This window comes from Homo sapiens, chromosome 1, assembly GCF_000001405.40.
Source record: "Homo sapiens chromosome 1, GRCh38.p14 Primary Assembly".
Lineage (NCBI taxonomy): Eukaryota > Metazoa > Chordata > Mammalia > Primates > Hominidae > Homo > Homo sapiens.
The window spans coordinates 103430738-103453718 of NC_000001.11; the positions used below are offsets into that span (position 1 = coordinate 103430738).

Here is a 22981-nt window from a genome sequence, read left to right on the forward strand (position 1 = left end):
GAAACAAGGCAAACTTTAAAAAATAACATTGCTTAACGGCATGTTTATATTTTACACATATAATATGTAATGTGCTATAAAGAAAAGTAATCTTCCCAAATGTCAATGACCCTTAAAATTGTGCAATAGATTTGCTTTGCTTTGTTCACATTCTATTTTTCTTCTACACTGTTATTCTTTATCAGTATTTCCTCAATAAATTAAATTTTGTGCTCGTAATACTCTCATCATGCTACTATTGTTATAATTATTAACATGTTATCACCATGTTAGTGTGGGTAGATTCATAACTGCCAAAAGGCTTTTGCACATGAAATACGATAGTCACTAGCACCTTTTGTACATTTTATAATTTTTTGTAAGCAATAAATATTCTTTTAATTATTAAATAAGTATTAATCTTAAAGCTAAAATGTGTACATTTCAACAAGTGATGTAGCAGCAATTAGATATCCATCACCAAAATAAATACATCGTGAAATAAAACCTCCACTTTATAAAAATTCACTCAAAATGAATCAACAGTTTAATTGTAAGATATAATATTATAAAACTTTTAGACAATGAAGGAAAAAATCTTCTAGGTGGGAGATTAGGCAGAGTTCTTAGATGTGAATAAAACACAATCACTAAAAGAATAAAATAGATAAATTTGACCTAATTAAAGTTTTTTTCTCTACAAAAAAATTCTGTAGAGAATATGAAAGACAAGCTAAAACCCGGAAAAAATATTTGTAAACCATACTTAAAATATATAAAGTACTCCTTAACTAGTGAAAAAAAAAACTTTTAACTATCCAATTAGAAAATGGCAAAAGACATGAGTAGACTTTTCACCAAAGACAATATACAGATGGCAAAAAGTACATAAAACGATGTTCAAAATCACTAGCCATTAGGGAAATACAAATTAAAACAACAATTGAATTTTACGTATATAGTAAAACAGTTATAATTACACATAGTGATATTATCAAATTCTAATAAGGATACAAAGAAATTCTATCTTTTATAAATTGCTGCTGGGAGTGTAAAATGGTACAACTACTCTGGAAAATAGTTTGGCAGCTTTTTATAAAACCACATACACTTTTCAGATGACCCAATAATTGCATATCTACACATTTATCTCAAAGCAATGAAAACTTTTCTTCACATAAGCGTTCATAGCAGCTTTATCAATAATAACCAAAAATTGGAAAAAAAAATTTCAACAGGGGACTGGTTGAAGTTACTATGGTACATGGATACAGTGGAATACTACTCAGTAACACAAAGAAACAAGCAAGTTATACATGCAAAAATTTTAATGACTCTGAAAAGCAATAATACAAGCCAATCTCAAAAGGTTACATATTCCAACTCTACGTATGTCTTTTGCATTCTTGAAATGACAAAATAAAATGTCTTGAAAATGAAAACATAGAAGTAAAATAGATTAGCAATTAACAGGAGCTAGTGATTGTGGGGGTGGAGTTGATGAGAAGATGCTTAGCACAAGAGAGCTTCTATGCAGTGATGAAACATTTCTGTGTATTAGTTATATGAATCTATATACACAATAAAATTGTGAAGAACTACACACACACACACACACACACACACATTCACATATTGGTAAAATCTGAATAAGTTCTGTAGTCTAGTTAATGGGATTTTCCCAATGTCAATTTACTTGTTTTAAGATTATATTACAGTTGGGCAGGATATAAACATTCAGAGAAGCTGGGTGAACAGTAACAGGACTCTCTTTACTGTATTTTCAACTTCCTGTGAGTCTATAATTATTTCAAAATAAAAAGTTCAAAAGATGTAGAAGGTTAACAAATTAAATTGTCCCAAATATTTAAACCTGATAGAAATATTTAATCAAATGTTTACATTCATTAAGTTCTCAAATTTAGTATATCACATTATTTAAAATGTTAACATTTTAAACCCTACAAGAATCTGAACTTATCCTGTCTGCTTAGTATAGAATAAGCTGAAAAAAGTGTGTGACCACCCTCACACCTAGAAAAAGTCAGATAACCTATGTAATCATAACTTTCCATGAACCTATGAGAGAATTAATGTTGCAGGGCAATCAAATAGCCCTAAATCTAAGATGACAGGCACTTTCAGGGAAAGACAGGACACAATTTTTGACTTACCTAGGGCAGTGATAGAAAGGAAATTGGGCTGGAGTTCAAAAGAGTAGGAAGAATTTCCCAAACTTGTGACAAATTGCTGCTGAGTGTAGGACAGCATGAGAGTATAGAGCTGCTTAAAGCCAGAAACACAAAGGGAGTTTGCATCCATTGCCATGCTCTTCACACATCTCATCACATATTCCGGTGTTGGTATCCCTCGTGCCAATCTGTGGGAGAAGAACAGCCAACACTGTAGAGCAAGAGTTTCACCTGGATCCCTCTTCCCTACAATACACAAGCCTAAACCACTGAGGGAAGAGCAGCAAATGATCTCTTTCATTGATATTATAGATGAAGACATCTTAATATTTTAGATGAATTATAGATGATGACATCTTTCCACATTTTAGGGAGGAAAGAACTGATTTTTTCTCTACCTTTTGTGGGGCGGTAGGAAAGCCTCTGGGCTCAGACTATTTGAGATTCCTTACTGCTTAGGGCAGGACATGATCATTGAGAAAGACACAACCTCAAGAATCAAGGACACAAAGCCTACTTAAGACTAAACCAGGACAACAGAAAACACAAAAGTATAACCTTCTATCCCCACCCTCACCCCTTTTGGGTAGGTTGTCAGGCATATAAGCATAAAATAATAAGAACAAACCACTGGGAGAGGGACAAGAACATATACATATTCTGCATGTAGAGAAAGCCTAAGGCTGGGAGTACTGTAGGAACACAGAAAAATCCTCCTGTAATTCAGCTCCCAATCCTCAAGCACAAGGTAACAGTGGAGCACCCACCTAAACCTGGAGGTGTAAAAAAAAAAAAAAAGAAACAAACCAGCTTCACTGCCAGCTAGATATACTCATAACCTTAATTCACTGTCCAGGAAAGATGGTTGTCACTTTTCAGGCATCAATAGTATTTCTCTCAGCCTCTGCTTGCCAACACATGATGCCTGTGTATAAAATACACAGACACACACACGCACACGTACATACCCATACAACACCCCCACCGCCAAACACATACGAAGGTTAAGATACAACTCAATAAGCAATCAACAAAACTAGAATTAGATTAGGCCCTGATGTTGGAATTATCAGTGAATTTTAAATAACAGTGTCTAAGATGTTAAAGGCTCTAGAGGAAAAGGTGGACATCTTTCATGAACAGATGAGGTATTTTGAAGAGATGAAAAGTATAAGAAAGAATAAAATAGTAATGCTAGAAAAAAATAGAAACATAGTAACAGAGCTGAGGAATGCCTTCAATGGGTCCATGAGTATGCTCAACATAGCTGAAGAAAATATTAGTAAAGGTCAAGATAGGTCAAAAAGGATAACCCAAACTAAGACACAAAGAGGAGAGAGAGAGAGAGAGAGAGAGAGAATGACAGAGAATCCAATGCGATGGGACAATATCAAACAGTCTAACAGATGTGTAATTGGGATACTAGAAAGAGAAGAAGGGCAAAGTATATTTTTAAATATTTAAAAAATATTTTAACGAATAGTTGAATTTTTTATGTAATAAATTAGATCACAAAACCAAAAACTTGGAGAACAGGAATTAAGAAAAGAAAAAAAAATACTAGGTGCAACATATTAAAAGTGCCAAAAGCCAAAGAATAAAACAAGGCAGCCAGAAGAAAACAGCATATTATGTATAGAAGAACAATTATATGAAGTTCAAGCCAGGCACGGTAGCTCACACGTGTAATCCCAGCACTTTTGGAGGCCGAGGCGGGCGGATAATTTGAGTTCAAGACCGGCCTGGGCAACATGGTAAAACCCAGTCTCTACTAAAAATATAAAAATTAGCCGGTGGTAGTGACTCACATCTGTAATCCCAGCTACTCGGGAGGCTGAGGCAGGAGAATCGCTTGAGCCTGGGAGGTGGAGGTTGCAGTGAGCTGACATCAGGCCACTGCACTCCAGTCTGGGTGACAGAGTAAGACCCTGTCTCAAAAAAATAAAAACGAAAATAAAAGAAGAAATACAGCAGTCTTCTTGTTAGATAATATACAATCAACCGGAAGATAATGAATTGGTAACATTAAAGTGCTTTGAAAAAACTTTATAAGCCCAGAATTCTATTATCAATAAAAATATATTTAAAAATAAAGAAAAAAACCTTTTTTTTTCCAGAGAAAAATACTGCTTAGAGAACTTATGACCAATGAGTCTGTCTAATGAGACATATTTTTTAAAAATTCTGTCAGGAAAAAAAAATACCCCATGGTTTCTAGGGCTTTGCAGAATAAATAAATAAATAAGTACCCCAAAGAGAAACTTAAATATAAGTAAATAAATGAAGAGCAATGACAATGAAAATTATACAAATGAAAGTTAAAATATATATATTTGATTTTTATTTTTAATTTCTCCAAAAGGTATTTGCACTTTCTAAGCAAAATTAGAGCCTTCGAATATGTGTTTATAGTATATGTGGAAAACAGAATATATGACAGCAAAGTTCAAAGGTGAGAGGGTGAAATTGGAAGCACATAAAAAATCTAAACTTCCAACTGAACAAACTGGCAAAATCCAAATGAAATATGCCTAAAGCTTGCTAAAAGAATTGAAACAATTAAGATACAAGTAAAAATAATTGAAATTGAAAATAGAAAATCAACAGAGGAAATTGATAAAAAAAAGTTATTTTATAAGATTGATAAAATTAATAAACTGCTAGCCAGATTGACCAAGACAAAACAGAGAAGAAGCAAATAGTAACTATAAAAACGAAAGAGATGACATCACTATATATTCTATGAATACAGACCTGAGATAATTCTGCAAATTACAGATCTAGAGCTAATATTTTCAACATATACACATACACTATAACTTGCTAATAAGAAGGCAAACAGGTCCATTAAAAGTACACAAAATGTGTACAGTGACTTCACAAAAGAGCATATATAAATGATTAATAAGTACATTAAAAGATGCTCAATTTTATCATCAAAGAAATACAAACTAAAAGTGCAGGAAGATACCACTGCAAAATGACCAAAAAATTAGAATTAAAAAGGTCGATAGTGCCTGGGTGCTGTGGCTCATGCCTGTAATCCCAGCACTTTGGAGGGCCGAGGTGGGTGGATCATGAGGTCAGGAGTTCGAGACCAGCCTGACCAATGTGGTAAAACCCCGTCTCTACTAAAAATACAAAAATTAGCCAGGAGTGGTGGCCCATGCCTGTAATCCCAGCTACTCAGGAGGCTGAGGCTGGAGAATCACTTGAACCCGGGAGGTGGAGGTTATAGTGAGCCAACATCATGCCATTGCACTCCAGCCTGGTCAATAGGGCAAGACTCTGTCTCAAAAAAAAAAAAAAAAGGCTGATATCACTCAGTGTTGGTACACATGTGGAGCAGCTGGAACTCTCATACATTGGTGATCAGAATGCAAAATGGTAAAACCTACTTTGGAAAATTGTTGGGAACTTTCTTTAAAAGTTATACATAAACTTGCAATTTGACCATCAGTTCTGCTTTTATTTACCCTGTTGGGGGAAATTCACCCCTGATATTTCACGTAGGTTCTTTTCTATTTTCCCTAAGAGTCAGCCAGTCTGAGAAATAAACGGAAAGAGTACAAAAGAGAGAAATTTTAAAGCTGGGTGTCCAGGGGAGACATCACATGTCGGCAGGTTCCGTGATGCCCCCCAAGCCGCAAAACCAGCAAGTTTTTATTAGTGATTTTCAAAAGGGGAGGGAGTGTACAAATAGGGTATGGGTCAAGAGATCACATGCTTCACAAGGTAATAAAATATCACAAGGCAAATGGAGGCAGGGCAAGATGACAGGACCACAGGACCAGGGCAAAATTAAAATTGCTAATGAAGTTTCTGGCATGCATTGTCATTGATAACATCTTATCAGGAGACAGGGATTGAGAGCAGACAACCGGTCTGACTAAAATTTATTAGGCAGGAATTTCCTCATCCTAATAAGCCTGGGAGCACTACGGGAGACTGGGGCTTATTTCATCCCTTATCTATGATTGTAAAAGACAGCCGTCCCCAAAGTGGCCATTTCAGAGTCCTCCTCTTAGGGACGCATTCTCTTTCTCAAGGATGTTCCTTGCTGAGAAAAAGAATTCAGCAATATTTCTCCTATTTGCTTTTGAAAGAAGAGAAATATGGCTCTGTTCTGCCTGGCCCACAGGCAGCCAGAGTTTAAGGTTATCTCCCTTTTTCCTTGAACATTGCTGTTATCCTGTTCTTTTTTCAAGGTGCCCAGATTTCATATTGTTTAAACAATTAGTGCAGTTAACGCAATTATCACAGGGTCCTGAGGTGACATTCATCCTCAGCTTACAAAAATGACAGGATTAAGAGATTAAAGACAGGCATAGGAAATCAGAAGGGTATTGATTGGGGAAGTGGTAAGTGTCCATGAAATCTTCACAATTTATGTTTAGAGATTGCAGTAAAGACAGGTGTAAGAAATTATAAAAGTATTAATTTGGGGAACTAATAAATGTCCATGAAATCTTCACAATTTATGTTCTTCTGCCATGGCTTCAGCCGGTCCCTCTGTTCGGGGTCCCTGACTTCCGGCAACATACCCAAGAGTAATGAAACCGTATGGTCCCACAAAGACTTTCTCATGAATATTCATTGCAGTTTTTATTAATAATTGTCCAATAATTGGATCAATCCAAATGTCCATCAATAGGCAAACAAGTAAATTAATGTATATCAATATGATTAAATACTATTTAGCAATATTAAGGAAGTACTTATATATATATATATAACAACATGGATGAACATCAATCTTGTTAATAAGCTTTCCTGACACTCATCTGTACCCTTACAACTTTAAAAAAAATTTAATTTATAGGGAAGGTGAGAATGCTCACAGATAAGCCATGGTATAAGAAGATTGATGTTATAATCATCTAATATGGAAAACTTTCACCATGAAGAAAAGGATGCTCAGACCTTAAAACTTGTACCATGGATCCTAGGGTGGAAAAGTAGAGGAGCTGAGCAACTAAAGTCATTTCAATCTTTCAGTTTTCATGTGCTTGCCTCCCCTCCCATACACACACTAAATATGCCTATTTCCCTCTTCTAGGTACCTGGTGATAAATCAACTTTAATACAGGGAAGCAAGCTAGTATATTATAGAATGAACTGTTTATTTATTTATTTTTTTTTTTTTTTGAGACGGAGTCTTGCTCTGTCACCCAGGCTGGAGTGCAGTGGTGTGATCTTGGCTTACTACAACTTCCACCTCTCTGGTTCAAGCAATTCTCCTGTCTCAGCCTCCCGAGTAGCTGGGACTACAGGCCTGTGCCACCACACCCAGCTAATTTTTGTATTTTTAGTAGAGACGAGGTTTCACCATATTGGTCCGGCTTGTCTCGAACTCTTGACCTCAGGTGATCCACCCACCTCAGCCTCCCAAAGTGCTGGGATTACAGGCATGAGCCACTATGCCCAGCCTGAACTGTTTATAAAATACATAATACCTCCTCAAAGTCATTCTGCAATGGGTTAAAGGAGATATACCAATCAGAACCTCAATTGAGACATAGGATATAGTGGAAAAGAGAGTCAATAGACAATTAGATCCAGTATTATGGAAGGCTCATATATGAATCAGAAGAGTTTGATACTTTGATACAGGACTAGGGCTTCTCAAAATGTTCTGCCTAACTATTCTGAGTAGCAGAGAAGAACATAAATAAATATGCCTCAGTGTTCTCAAGGTATTATTGAAGCTGCTTGCCACTTGCCAAAATACTGAATGTTTTTGTGTTATTGTTAAAACTCAGGAGAAATTTGTGTGTTCATGATTAATACAAGATATTAGTATTATTTATCAAAGTATAAAACTTTCGCCTGTATATTAATGTGATGTTGACACTGTGTGAAAATTCCTGTGCTCATGTTGTGGCACTACAGCATGCCACATAGTTTCTCCTAAGGTATGCACACCACTGTTTCACAAGCATGACATAGGCAATAGCTGACACTTTCTACCTTTTTAAACAGAGGCGAAAGTGCACTTTTTGAAAGATTTACGTGAAAGATAATACCTCGAACTTTATTTTTTGGCAAAGAACTTTCATATTTGACCCTTGATTAACCTCTGGCAGTATATCAGAAAAAAGTATATTCATGTCCATTTAAAAATAAATGAGAAAATTGAAACATAGAGAATTTAAATTGCACATGTAAAATCAGAGCCAAGAAAATAAAATATTTTCTGACTCTGAATCCAGTGCCAATTCTATAATCTCTACTCATCCTGAGGAGAATATGGTATAAAACCAATTTATCTTGGATCACATTCAAATGAATTTAGTTGTACCACAATGAAAAGCAGGCAGCTTTATAGGTCATCCTAACATAGACCACAAGGACAGTATTACATAAGTCTGCTAGTACAGTAAGATTTCACATATTGAATTTGCTGGGCAATGTCTGTCCCTGACACAGGTGTGTTTTTTTTAAATACTGAAATGTTACCACTTGTACTTAAAAGAATGAAACTGACATGCTCAAATTTTCTAAAAAGAAAAAAAGCAAAGAAGGTAAAGAGAAAAAGAAAAATACCCACTCTATTGAAAGTAGTTAATATGCCAGGAAGACATTTTTCACAAACCATCTGGGGGTTCTCACAGCTATTTTCAAACTTTTTAGAAGTTCCATGACCAATTAATCTGAGGAATCAACTAGAAATGAGTAAGTTCTCAGTTGCATTCTTGCTCTAAGGGATTACACTCTGGTTGACTTTGTGAGATACTGAACTGCTCTAGTTGCACCCACTGAATCTTATCCTCATTGCCACAAATTTCTGGCTCTTTCAAAGAGTCTACCTGCCCAGAACCATTAAAAAGGAGGTTTTTTTTATTTTTACTATTGCTTTTAAAGTACACTTACTTCTTTGACTAGAGACAGAAGCTTTGAAGGTAGTTGTTGATAACAAACCTGTACCTGATGGGCAACCTGAACATTTGACTGAGTTTTCCACTTGGACTACCTCAAAAGCATTATCATACTAGTTTCTGGTTCCAATAAGGGCAGACTTCCTGGAGTATTCTGAATTGGATTCTCTTGGTCTACTGGGCACAGAAAATCCTGCCAAATTAGACCTGGATTCCTGGACTCCTAGTTTATAAAAAGCATAGAGTGGCTTCCTGGGTATCTATGACCTTCTTTCATATCCACTGATAGCAAAAGTTGCTTGTTTTCCTTTGATCTTATTAGCAAAATTCCCTTTGAAAAAAAACAGAAAAGGAGTAGAGATGATAATAAGAGAATGAGATAAGTAGGCTAACTTTGCAAGTAGCTCCCAAAAGGAATAAACAGGAATTTTCGCTTAAAAATATTTCTCAGGAATTCATATTTGTGTTTTGTCTGTTTTTTTCTTAATAGGTTGGCAAAACTAGAGAGGTGAGCATTTAATCTTTCCTCTTATAGGACTTATAAATGCCGATTTATTTTTCACGTTTCTAGCATATGTGATTTCATTGATAAAAACCTACTAATCACGTTTATATGTTTAGAGATACCATTCACAGCTTCTGTGAATAAAATTCATGGTAAAAAGCAAATGAGAAGTTATGTTAACGGCAACTTAGAAACATACTTTGAAAAGTGAATAGATATTTGTCAGGTTAAATTACAATAAAAAAGACTAGTTTAGTAGTTTGCATACTCCCAAATTTTGGAATCATCTGAGGATCTTAAAAAAAAAAATACTGCTGCCTGAGTCCCACCCCCAAACATTCCTATTTAATTACTGTGGAGTGCAACTTGAGCACTGGGGTTATTGAACTCTCTTCAGTTAAATAGCTAGTCTAGTGGGATCCAAACTACATGAGAAATCTGAAGTCGAGTTAAATTCAGTCTCTTTTTGCTTATTGACTGTAGTGTCTTGAGCAAGACAGTTGACTTCTCCAAAATTTTCTTCCTTATCTGTAAAAAATGGATATTTAGTAATACATTTTCTATATCTCTGATAGGGATTTTGTGAAGATTAAATGTGATATTGTTTGTCACCTTATAAAGTTTTTGTTTGATAAATGTTTGTCATATTTATCAAGTTAAATGTGAAGTGATATATAAACATCAGTTACATGTGTGTATATGTATGTATATGTATATATATGCATATGTACATATATAAACACATACATATACATATTTTCCAGACCTTCACATATTGTGAAGTTCAGATGAGATAATGCATGTAAATATGCTTTGAAGATTATAAAGGCATGCATAAATATAAGGTGTTGTTACTCCTATTGTTGATAAAACAAACTGTAGAAAATTCCATGAAGTACTTGACTAGTAAAAAACACAGGATTATAGCTATAGCATCTGTTTTAAGTTACTTCTCGGCCCTCATCTTTCATCTCTACTTTGGCCCAAACTGTATTAGGTTGGTGCAAAAGTGGCTGTGATTTTTACCATTAAAAGTAACAGCAAAAACTACCATTACTTTTGCACCAACCTTATAGTTTGAAGGACAGCATGCAGTCCCTGACAAATAATCAGGGAAAAGTCATTTTAAGAGAGAAGTGATTTTTTGTTCCTTAGCTCCGGAGTTACACCTAGGAAAACATACCTCGGTTAGATTTCAGTGGCTCCTAAGACTGGCCATATGAGTAGGTGGTATGACCTGAGAAATACCAAGAGGTCCCACCTGCTAAACATATCTTTCCTTAGGGACATTCCTGGAATTCTCCTCATTAGAGACAAAGCAGAAAGTCGCTTTTAAAATGCACAGAGATGTTAGCATATCATGGATTAATGTAACAATTTGACTAGAGAATGAATTTTCAAAAGCTTGATATATTCACAAGGTGGAAAAAGAAATAGCTACATTCATCTTTGCTCTGACAGAAAGTTTTTAACTACCAGACAAAAATAACACTGTCTAAATTACTCGGTCTCCTTACCTGAAATCAGATAGGACATATTATTGGCTATTGTGACCCTATTACCTAATTTCTTACTACCTTGTCCAGATATCTCCAGGTGTCCAAGTTTGCTTCTCCATAGTAGGGTCTATAGTAAACTTTAGAGAGATTTCTTCCTGTTTTTAACAAACATTGATGAAGTTTGTGAGCTCCTTGTTTTTAACAGTTAGAGGAAGCATAAATTTGAGACTTTAACCCAAAAAATTGCAAATAGAGAGACATCCACCAATAGGTATACAAGCATATGCAATTAAAATTCCAAAATGAAGGGCATATTTTTGAGAGACAATTATTTGATATTAAAGGACTATCTTTTAAAATTATTTCTCATGCTTGTGAATACCTTTTTTATATTCCATGTACTCTTGGGAAACAAGGGCAAGGATCCTATTCTTATTTAGCTTTTCATCTTCACTCTCAAAATAATTGTCTCTGAAACTGCCTGAGAAAATTTAAATAGTTCGTCTTAGCCTAATTTAAATAGTAAGGATTTTTTTTCTCTCTACCTAAACACATATGTATAATAGGCTCTTCCTGAAGACTACCTCCTGTACTTTTTCACCTCCTCAAAAGCTGGATTTATTCTAACTTCACTGCTACGTTGGCTAACACTACCGTGCATTTATCACTCCTTTTCACCATTCACAGATTACTGTCCTCTCCAAAGCTTAGCCATGAATCTAGTGCTCCTCTAAGTAATAGATTTCTGCACCATGCACATCCTAACGTTCTTAAGGAGGTTTACCTCAAACCACGTGGCATTTTTTGTTTTGCTTTTAATTTAGAAGGCATTTTACACTACCTTGGGTGTGCTGTTCTCCAGTTGTTCAAGATGCAGAGCAAGTTGCTCTACACAAGACCCTTATAATGCAGCAAATTCAGTGATGCTCAAAATGCTTCTGGCTGATCGGAGCCTATAGCAATCCACAATAAGAAAATCATACTGAAGTCCCACAAAGTTTTGAAGCAAACTTATTCTTTAGCAAATAACTACCTTTCCTTTGAAAAACAGTTCTTATGTTGTTATTAAAATATGCACAAGACTGAATGGCCAACCATGGGATAAATGACCATGTGATTTGCGCTGTCCATCAAAATTGGGTGTTCTATAATGAACCAGAGCCTAAAGTTGAGCATTGTCTAAAAGTCCTTTTTTATTAAGTAGAAGTTAGCTACATAGATCAGGTTAAAGCATAATGTATCCTCATGACCCAGGGAACTTCAGCTTTCTTCCTACTGTTGCCATCGTGAGAGGTAAAGTCATGATGATTAGATAACTCTGTAAATAAATGACATTAATTTCTACACATAAATTGGGTGAATTTTATAGCACAAAGAATATTGTGAAAAACAGCACAAAAATCTTCAATGCATGCAAATTTTACAAAACAATTTAAGTGTCCAGAAATCCCAGGGTGAGATGCAGAATGTTATAAACAAATCTATTAGTAAATGTATTACAAATGTATGAACCAACCTTATTGAAAGGGAAAAGAGAAAAAGATACTGATGTAAGATTTTGGAAATTAATGGAGACTGGAGTAAAGTTTCTTTTCTTACAGGTAAAAAGAACCGTACCTAAGTGCTATACTCTAATTCATACAGTTATTCTCGATTGACATGCAGGTTAACAATTCTGAAACACAATACAGATATACTGAAATTGGACATTTAAGGAAATGTGTGGCAGATAGTAGGAACCAAGTTTCTCACTGTTGGAGTAGAAGAGAAGCAAGAGAGTGGACCCACTGAAGTGGTCCATGTGGAAATGGAATAGAATTGGATATATCAGTATGCACTCTTCATTTGCTTAATGCAGACACATATGCTGGATATAGATTTATAGATATGTAAACATACAAACATATATTGACTTGCTCTTTCAGTTGAGAGGGCATAGAAGTAATGGCACCCTATTAACAATGAGCACAACTAGCACGCAGATCTTTGGGTCTAATATCATTCTCTAATAAAAAAAACTTGGGATGCATGGAGAAATGGTTGAATCTAGAGCTGGGACATGAAATATACAAGATGAACACAGCATTTTGTTCTATCAAAAAGTAAAAAAGGGTTTAAAGAAAAAAATATCCCAACGATGGGGGAATGACAAAGGGATGCATGAGCTAACTGAAGAACACCCAATGGCAAATTTGGGCAACAATGTGAAATATTATTGGATTACAAACCAAAGTAAAAATAACTATCCATGAGTCAATTTTGATATAAAATGATTAAGCAAACACATAAATGAAAAACAGACAAATCTCTCATACAGAAGAATTACAAATATATTTTTAAATAGTTATTTTCTTAAGGAAGAGCCACATAACTTCACACTCATTAAGTATGTGTTATATACACTGATTTATTCCACAAAGTGCAATATGGAAAGGGAGAGAAAAAAATAAATTTACAGTGGATAAACCTGATAAACACTAGCTCAAGCCAGGTGGTCAATTAACATTATCAACAGTGATAAGTCATATTTGTGTATGTATCTTTACCACAATGTACTACAAAGACTGGCATGTTACCTATGTGATCATCCTACCTAAAACACATTACCCCATGTGTAAACTTGAGAAAAACATCACAAAAATTCCAACTGAGGGACATTCTACAAAATATTTAACCAATATTTCTCAAACTACCTAGGTCATTAAAAATAAGGAAAGTCTTCTGAGCGTGATGGCTCGCGTCTATACTCCAAGCACTTGGGAAGCAAAGGTGGGCAGATTGCTTGAGCCCAGGAATACAAGGTCAGCCTTGGCAACATGGTGAAACCTCATCTTCACAAAAAAAAGAGCTGGCATAGTGGCACATGCCAGTGATCTCAGCTACTTGGGAGGCTGAGGTGGGAGGATCACTTGTCCCTGGAGGCAAAGGATGCAGTAAGCTGTGATTGTTCCACTGCACTCCAGCTAGGCAACAGAGGGATACTCTGTCTCAAAATAAAAATAAAGATAAAGTCTGAGAAACTATCAAAACTAACAGGCACATAAGGAGACATAAAACTAATGTAATGTGATATCCTAGATGTGATCCTGATTACTTTCTTTGAGCATTATGTGTAATTTCTTCTTTGATGAATATGTGCATGGTATTTTACATGTAAACTATTGATGGTATCTATTATACTAATTCTGCCATATTTGAGCATAATATTCTATAAGGTACAATAGCCATTACTTGCCCTTTCAAGATTAAGGTCTAAATTAGGTATGCAGTTTTATTTTTTAAAATGTTTGTGTTTATCATATTTGAACTCCTTTAATAATTTTATTAAATGGTTCTTTTTTGTACAGACATATCTCAGAGATACTGCAGATTCAGTTTCAAACTGCTGCAAGACAATGGATATTGAATTAAATCAAGTCATATAAATTTTTTTGTTTCTCAATGCATACAAAAGTCATGTTTACACTACAGCCTGTTAAGTGTGCAAAAGCATTATGTCTTAAAAATGATATACATACATTTATTGAAAGATACCTCATTGCTAAAAATTGCTAATGATCTGGTACAAAAACAGACACATAGACCAATGGAACAAAATGGAGAACTCAGAAATAAGACTGCACACCTACAATCATCTGATCTTTGAAAAACCTAAAAAACAAAACAAAACAAAACAAAAACCCAGCAATGGGGAAAGGATTCCCTGTTTAATAAATAGTGCTGGGAGAAATGGTTAGCCATATGCAGAAAATTAAAACTGGACCCCTTCCTTACACCATATACAAAAACTAACCAAAGATGAATTAAAGACCTAAATGTAAAATCCAAAACTATAAAAACCCTAGAAGAAAATCAAGGCAATACCATTCAGGACATAGGCACAGGGGAAGATTTCATGATGAAAATACCAAAAGCAATTGCCACAAAACCAAAACTGGACAAATGGGATCTAATTAAACTAAGGAGCTTCTGCACAGCAAAAGAAACTATCATCAGAGTAAACAGACAACCTAGAGAATGGGAGAAAATTTTTACAATCTATTTATCAAAGGTCTAATATCCAGAGTCTACAATGAACTTAAACAAGTTTACAAGACAAAAACAAACCCCATTAAAAAGTGGGCAATGGGCACGAACAGACACTTCTCAAAAGAAGACATACATGAGGCGAACAAACATGAATAAAAGCACAACATCACTGATTATAAGAGAAATGCAAACCAAAACCATAATGAGATAGCATCTCACACCAGTCAGAATGACTATTATTAAAAGTAAAAAAACCACTGCTGAGGTTATGGAGAAAAAGGAACACTTTTACACTGTTGGTGGGAGTGTATATTAGTTCAACCATTGTGGAAGACAGTGTGGCAATTCCTCAGAACCCTAGAGGCAGAAATACTATTTGACCCAGCAATCTCATTACTGGGTATATACTGAAATGAATATAAATTATTCTATTATAAAGACACATGCATGTCTATATTCATTGCAGCACTATTCACAATAGCAAAGACATAGAGTCACCCCAAATGCCCATCAATGAGAGACTGGATAAAGAAAATGTGGTACATATACATCCATGGAATACTCTGCAGCCACAAAAACGAAGAAGATCATGTCCTTTGCAGGGACATGGATAAAGTTGGAAGGCATTATCGTCAGCAAAGTAACACAGGAACAGAAAACCAAACACTGCATGTTCTCACTTATAATTGGGAGCTGAATGATGATAACACATGGACCCATAGAGGGGAACAACAAACACTGGGGCCTGTTGGTTGGGTCTGGGGAGGGAGAGCATCAGGAAGAATAGCTAATGGATGCCAGGCTTAATGCCTAGGTGATGGGATGATCGGTGCAGTAAACCACTATAGCACACATTTACCTATGCAACAAACCTGCTCATCCTGCATATGTACCACTGAACTTAAAAGAAAATATGAAGAAAAAATTGCTAATAATTGTCAGGGCCTTCAGAGAGTCATAATCTATTTATTATTTATTTATTTATTTATATTTTTATTTTATTTTGTTGAGATAGGTTCCAGTCCAGGCCAGAGTGCAGTGGTGCAATCTCAGCTCATTGCAGCCTTGACCTCCCAGGCTCAAAGGATCCTCCCACCTCAGCCTCTTGAGTAGCTGGGATTACAGGCACACGCCACCACACCCGGCTAATTTTTCGTATTTATTGTATGTATGTATGTATGTATGTATGTATTTTTTTATTTATTTTGTAGAGACACGGTTTTGTCATGTTGTCCAAGTTGGCCTCAAACTCCTGGGCTCAAGCCAGAGAGTCATAATCGTTTCACTGCTGAGATATCTTACCTTGATGTTGATGGCCGCTGACTAATCAGGGTGGTGATTGCTGAAGGTTGGGGTAGCTGTGGCAATTTCTTAAAATAAGATAACAAACAGTAAAGTTTACTCATCAACTGACTCTTCCTTTTATGAAAGATTTGTCTGTAACATGTGTTGCTGTTTGATGGCATTTTACCCAAGATAGAACTTCTTTCAAATTAGAATCAATCCTCTCAAAGCCTGCTGCTGTGTTATGAACTAAATTTATGTAATATTCTAAATTCTTGGTTTTCTTTTCAACAATATTCACAGCATTTTCACCAGGAATAGATTCCATGTGAAGAAACCACTTTCTTTTCTCATCCATAAGAAGTAACAGCTCATCCACTCAAGTTTTATCATTAGATTGCAGCAATTCTGTCACATCCTCAAGCTCCACTTCTAACTCTAGGTGTCTTCCTATTTCTACCACATCTACAGTTACTTCTTCCACTGAAGTCTTGAACTGCTTAGTCATCCATGATGGTTCTAATCAACTTCTTTCAAAGTCCTGTTAATGTGGATATTTTTACGTCCTCCCTGAATCATGAATGTTCTTAATGGCATCTAGAATGGTGAATTCTTTCCAGAAGGTTTTCAGTTTGCTTTGTCCAGACCCATCAGAGGAATCACTATCTATAGCAGCTATTTCTTTACTTTTTTTTCTTCTAGACAGGATCTTGCTGTTTCACCCAGGATGCAATGCAGTGGTGTGATCATAGCTCACTGCAGCAGCCTTGAGTTACTGAGCTCAAGTGATCTTCCCACCTCAGCCTCCTGAGTAGCTGAGACTAAAGGCACATGCAAGTATGTCCAGCTATTTTTTTTAATTGTATTTTTAATAGAGATGAGATCTCACTATGTTGCGTAGGCTAGTCTCAAATTCCTGACCTCAATCAGTCCTCCCGTCTCAGCCTCCCAAAATGCTGGGATTACAGGCATGAGGTACCACACCTGGCCTCTTAAATCAAAATACTCAAAGGTCAAAATTAGTCCTTGATCCACTGGCTGCAGAATGAACATTTAGTTGGCAGGTATGAAAATAACATTGATCTTCTTGGACATCTCCATCAGAGCTCTTGGATGACCAGAAGCATTGTTAATAAGTAGTAATATTTTGAAATGAATCTTTTTTACTGAGCAGTATGTCTCAATAGTGGGCTTAAAATATTCAGGAAACCATGCTGTAAACAGATGTACTTTAATCCATGTTTTATTGTTCCATTTATAGTGTCCACACAGAGGTTGAATTAACATAATTCATAAGGGCCATAGGATTTTTGTAAATTAGGCAAATAAGCATTCAATTTAAAGTCACCAGCTGCCTAAGTCTTCAAGAAGAGAGTCATCTTGTCCTTTGAAGCTAGGCATTGATTTCTCCTTTCTAGCTATGTAAGTCCTAGAAGGCATCTTCTTCCAGTAGATGGCTTTCTTGTGTTGCTTATTGTAGGCAGCTTCATCAGTGATATAGGCTAGATCTGGATAAATTGCTGCAGCTTCTACACCAGTACTTCCTGTTTCAGCTTACACTTTTATGTTATGAAGACAGCCTCTAACCTTAAACCTCATGAGCCAACCTCTGCTAGTTTCAGACTTTTCTTCTGCAGCTTCCTCACCTCTCTCAGTTGACACAGAATGAAAGAGAGTTACAGCCTTACTCTGGATTAGGTTTAGGTTTACAGGAATGTTGTGGCTGGTTTGATCTTCTATCCAAACCACGAAAACTTTTTCCATATCAACAATAGGCTGTTTTCCTTTCTTATTCATGTGTTCACTGGAGTAGCACTTTTAATTTCCTTTAGTAACTATTTTTTTTTCCAGTAACCACTTGGTTAACTGTTTGGCACAAGAGGACTAGCTTTTGGCCTATCTCAGCTTTCAGCATTTATGCCTTTTTCACTAAGCTTAATCATTTCTAGCTTTTGATTTAAAGTGAGAGACATGTAATTATATGTAATTCTTCCTTTAATGTGAACAGTTATAGGCTATTGTATGATCATTAATTGGACTAATTTCAATATTGTTTTGTCTTAGGGAATAGGGAGGCCCTAGGAGAGGGAGAAAGACAGGCGAACCATTGGTCTAGTGGAGAAGTCAGAACACAATACAAATTTATCCATCAAGTTTGCCATCTTATATGGGCCTGGTTCATGGTACCCCCAAAACAGTTACAGTAGTAACATTAAAGATCACTGATTATAGATTACTATAACAAACCTAACAATAACTTAAAATTTTGGAATATTGTGAGAATTACCAAAATGTGACACAGACATGAAGTGAGGGAGCACATGCTGTTGGAAAAAGTGACACAGATAAACTTGCTTACTATAGAATTGTCACAAATCTTCAGTTTGTAAGAAAATGCAATATCTGTGCAGCACAATAAAGGGAGGCATGCCACCATATATTCTCTTGTGTATGAGTTTATTGAAACAAAGCATGTGATGTATTCCTCTTAAGTCTTATAATTTCTATAGTTTACGTTAAAATGGGTCTTATATAACAGCCTAATAGACTAATTTTTCAGTATTATTTATCTACCATGACTATAAAAAGAGCTATTTAGTCTTTAGCTAATATTTAGAATAGATATATAACTAGCTTTATAAGCCTTTTTTTCCCTGAAATATGTTGAATAAAGTAAACCCTGTATTTTACTTTTCTTAAATTTCTACATTTATTTAAATAAAAATGTTACCTAGCCAAGTACAACACCAGTTTGGTAAAGCTGAATTCCAGCAAAACATGAGCCAGTTCCACACATACAAATGAATGTGGCCTGGTAGATGCTAAGCTTTATTTTTCTCTTAACTACTAATTAAAGCAGTGTCTGTAAAACAAAACCTAAACTATGTGTTGGAAAAACTGAAGATTTCAACTCTATTGTTTTAGGAACAAATATGCTCAAAATACCTTATTCCATTCTTAACAAGCATGAAGAATCTGGTCTCCAGACTGGCCTACATCACAAATTTATTTGCAAATATGAGATTCCTCCTGCTCTCTTTATGTACCATGCTAAATACAAAATAAGGTCTAATTTCTCTTTTTAGACTACAATCCACTTGAGGGCAAAGACCTCTTAAATTTCCTGGGACCCACAATCTGCACTTTTGTAATAATTGGAAACTACAATAAAAATCTCTTCTTGAGTTGCTGTGGTCATTTTCTAAATGGCCCCAGTTGTAGTCAAGACAACCTAATCAGATAGCTGGTGACCAAGTATTTTCAACCTTCTTCCAAAAAACAATTTGACCCAAGGCTATTCGATATAGTCTTTACACGGGAGAAGTCACAACACCAAAGACTTATGTTGTCACCCACAGTGAGGCTGAGGTTCGTTCTTTTCTAATTATTAATAGTTCTAATCAACCAATATTTCTCCAGACTTATTGAAATGCCCAAAAAGAATTTAAAAAATAAATTTGTAAATTAAGTCTTCAAAAATATTTTACAATTATTCATTATCAGGACTAACAAGACGGTAGGAGGAGTCAGTAAAAATAACCAGCACTGATAGTTCCTAGGTACATAACATTAAAAAGTCCATGTGCATATTTTTGCCTGGCTGTTCCTTATAAATATTTTTAACAAGAATCTAACCCACTTTTAGTGCCTGCTAATTGTGAAATTATTAAATGATATGTTTGATATCGCTTATCAAATAAAGGCATTGAAACAATGTAAATTCATCTTATCTTTGTGTTGATGGTTAGCTAGAACTGCATCATTCTTTCTTCCCCCCCAAAATGAATTTGTCATGTGTGTGGAGAAGCAATATGATATTGCATACTACATGAAAAACAATTGTCTGTGTAATAGGAGATGTGGACTCTTGCCATTTCTTTTTTACTGTCATTTGTGAGTTACTTAACCTTTAGGCTTCTCAATTTATCTATATTTAAAATAAAGGTGCTGTGATAAATGACTTCTAAGATGTGTATCAATTCTGAAGTTCTGGACAACCATATGGAAAGATCATAGTAAACAGATTTTCTAATTAAGATAAAAGAATTCCTGAAGAAAGGAAAATGTCACCAAAAGCAAAATAAAAAATTACTGTATTTTTACAGGTAAACAATATTGTAAGGAAAAAAATCAATAAATAGAAAAGAATCAACCAGCATCTATTTTTGTTTTCATCTAAGATAAATATGAAGAAAATTGAATTTATTGAACTAAATAAAGAGCTTTCAACTCTATTATTTTATTTGAAATTTTTATTATTAAAGCTGTATTTTTTCTGGGATAGTGTGTTATATACAGTTAAGAAGATTCTAGTTTCCCTAGACAGGACTATAAGATCTTGGAGGACAGGTGCATATTTTCTTTTTTCTCTTTTATCATTTGAGTCACTTTTATGGAATAAGGCCACTGTCAATCTGTTTCTTTCCATTCACTCTGAATTGCTGGCACAAGCATGAAGCTTCTCTGTAATACTCCCAAATTTTAAACTGGTATAAAAAACTCCCTGCACAGAAACATCTGGTATAAACACTTGTGGGGCAGATTGGAGATTGTCTGGGACACCTCCCTGTCTTATCTGCCTCCTGTATCTATCACTTGTTTTCTGGATCACTTTGTGGGTTCCTTGGAGATCTCCAATCACTGAGGTCTTGTACCAACGGCTCCCTTGATGAGTGCAAAAACCTAGCTACTGGATAGTTTCTTATGATACATATCCTCATTGTCCGTATCTTTCTGTTGTGGTCTCTCCTCTTCCTTTTAGACAAGCATCTGATAATGGGTCTAAGACAACCCCTGCAGACTCCTTGTTGTAAGAGCCTACATCTGGAGCAGAGGAAACATTCAGCTTTAGTTTAATCTCAGTGAGAGTGCAGTTACCTTCTACCTGCATCCTCTGCTATGCTGCCACAAGCTGCTTCAGTCAAACTTTGCTGTTTTGATTTCTTACATGTAAATCAGACACCTGTAAGTCTCTATGTCCCCCAGGCTGTAAGGGGAACTTACCAAGTTGTACTTGTATTGTTCTTAATGTCTTTCTCATTTGACTTGTAAGTGGGAAAGCAATCCATTTCCATTCGTGAGGACCCATATTACCTTGGCAGTCTTTCCAACTCCCTACTTTCTAACTGAATTATTAACATTCTCTTATATAAACACTGACCTTTCCAAAGCTGATTTTTAGTAACTTCCCTTGTAATTAGTACTTGATTGTATTGTGGCTCTCTCTCTCAATGAAGGGAAGAAGGTGTACAGTCATCCCTTGGTATCAGCAGGGGCATTTGCTCCAGGAACCTTCCCCTCCACCAGAGATACCAAAATCTTTAGATGCTCAGGTCCATGATATAAAATGGCACTGTATTGGTATGTAACCTACACACATCCTCCCATACACTTAAATCATCTCTTGATTACTTATAATACCTAATGCAAAGAAAATCCAATGTAAACAGTTGTTATACTATATTTTTATTTCTATTTTTATTGTTGTTGTTATTTTTTAGTTTTTTATTTAACTATTTATTTTTTGAATATTTTTGATCAACGGTTGTTTGAATCTGTGGATGTGAAACCCATGGATACAGAGGGCCAACTGAATATAGAGTATAAATATAAGAAGACAAATTTGTGCTATTGTGCTGGGGGCCCTACTGTTCACCAGCACTGTGACCATGATCAAGTTATTTAAACTTTCTGCATCTCAGTTTCTCCACCTGTAAAATACACTAAATAATACCATAAATCTCATGGAGTTATGAGAATTAAATTAATTATGTACACATTCTTACACGCAACTCTATACACGTCAGCATATATACCTGCCCAGTATGTATACACACTTACATATATTCTGTACTGTGTTTATGTATATATGTATATATGTATTCATGTTCACTAATAATATACTATATATAATTATTAGTATACAGTATATACAGACTTGTCACTTATTTTATCACTTATTTTATTCTCAGTCTATGTATGCCTTAACATTGAGACAAAATTCCCATTTTAAGGTGCAAAAGTGCATAAATAACAAAGTAAGGTATAATAAATACATTTATATATAAAGTATAAGAAAAATTTATAAGTAAACTATGTATGTTGTGTATGTATATTTCACAAAAATGTCTGAAATGCATATGAACACCAATTTTTGGGCTAAAAATCGTCTTTTTGTCTAACAAAATAGAGTTCATAAGTTCCACTAAAAAGTGGTTGTCATTATTTTAATAATATTAATACTACACATATATTGCAGTTAGTGTTCAAAATGTGTTCATTACCTGATTTGATTTATATCATCTAATTTGAAGCAAAAAGCATTTCACACTGCATTATTACACTTTTATTCATTTTTACATGTAAAGAAGCTGAAATTAAGAAACATTGTGAAACTTAGATAAGGTGACCAGCAAAAAAGATGAGGGAGCTAAAAATAAAACAATGCTCCAGCGAGTCCTTATTGAGTGATCTTTATATTACTCGACAGTGCTTTGGTACAAGAGCTGGTCAGTTTATTAGCTGTGATTGCATAGCATTTGTGAAATCTTTATAAGATATATAATTAGTATGTTGAACATGCAACTTGTAAGATAAGCTCAAATCACAATTCTG

General features: G+C 35.1%; 1 long non-coding RNA gene across 3 annotated transcripts in view; it reads right to left on the minus strand.

Annotated features, from left to right (window-relative positions):
• Window positions 1-22981, minus strand: part of RNPC3-DT (RNPC3 divergent transcript) — a 108529-nt gene that overhangs the window by 13758 nt on the left and 71790 nt on the right. For all 3 annotated transcript variants that reach the window (NR_168321.1, NR_168320.1, NR_168319.1), the window contains one exon: window positions 2154-2359. This is a non-coding gene — a long non-coding RNA (RNPC3 divergent transcript). The remainder of the gene's footprint in view (window positions 1-2153; window positions 2360-22981) is intronic.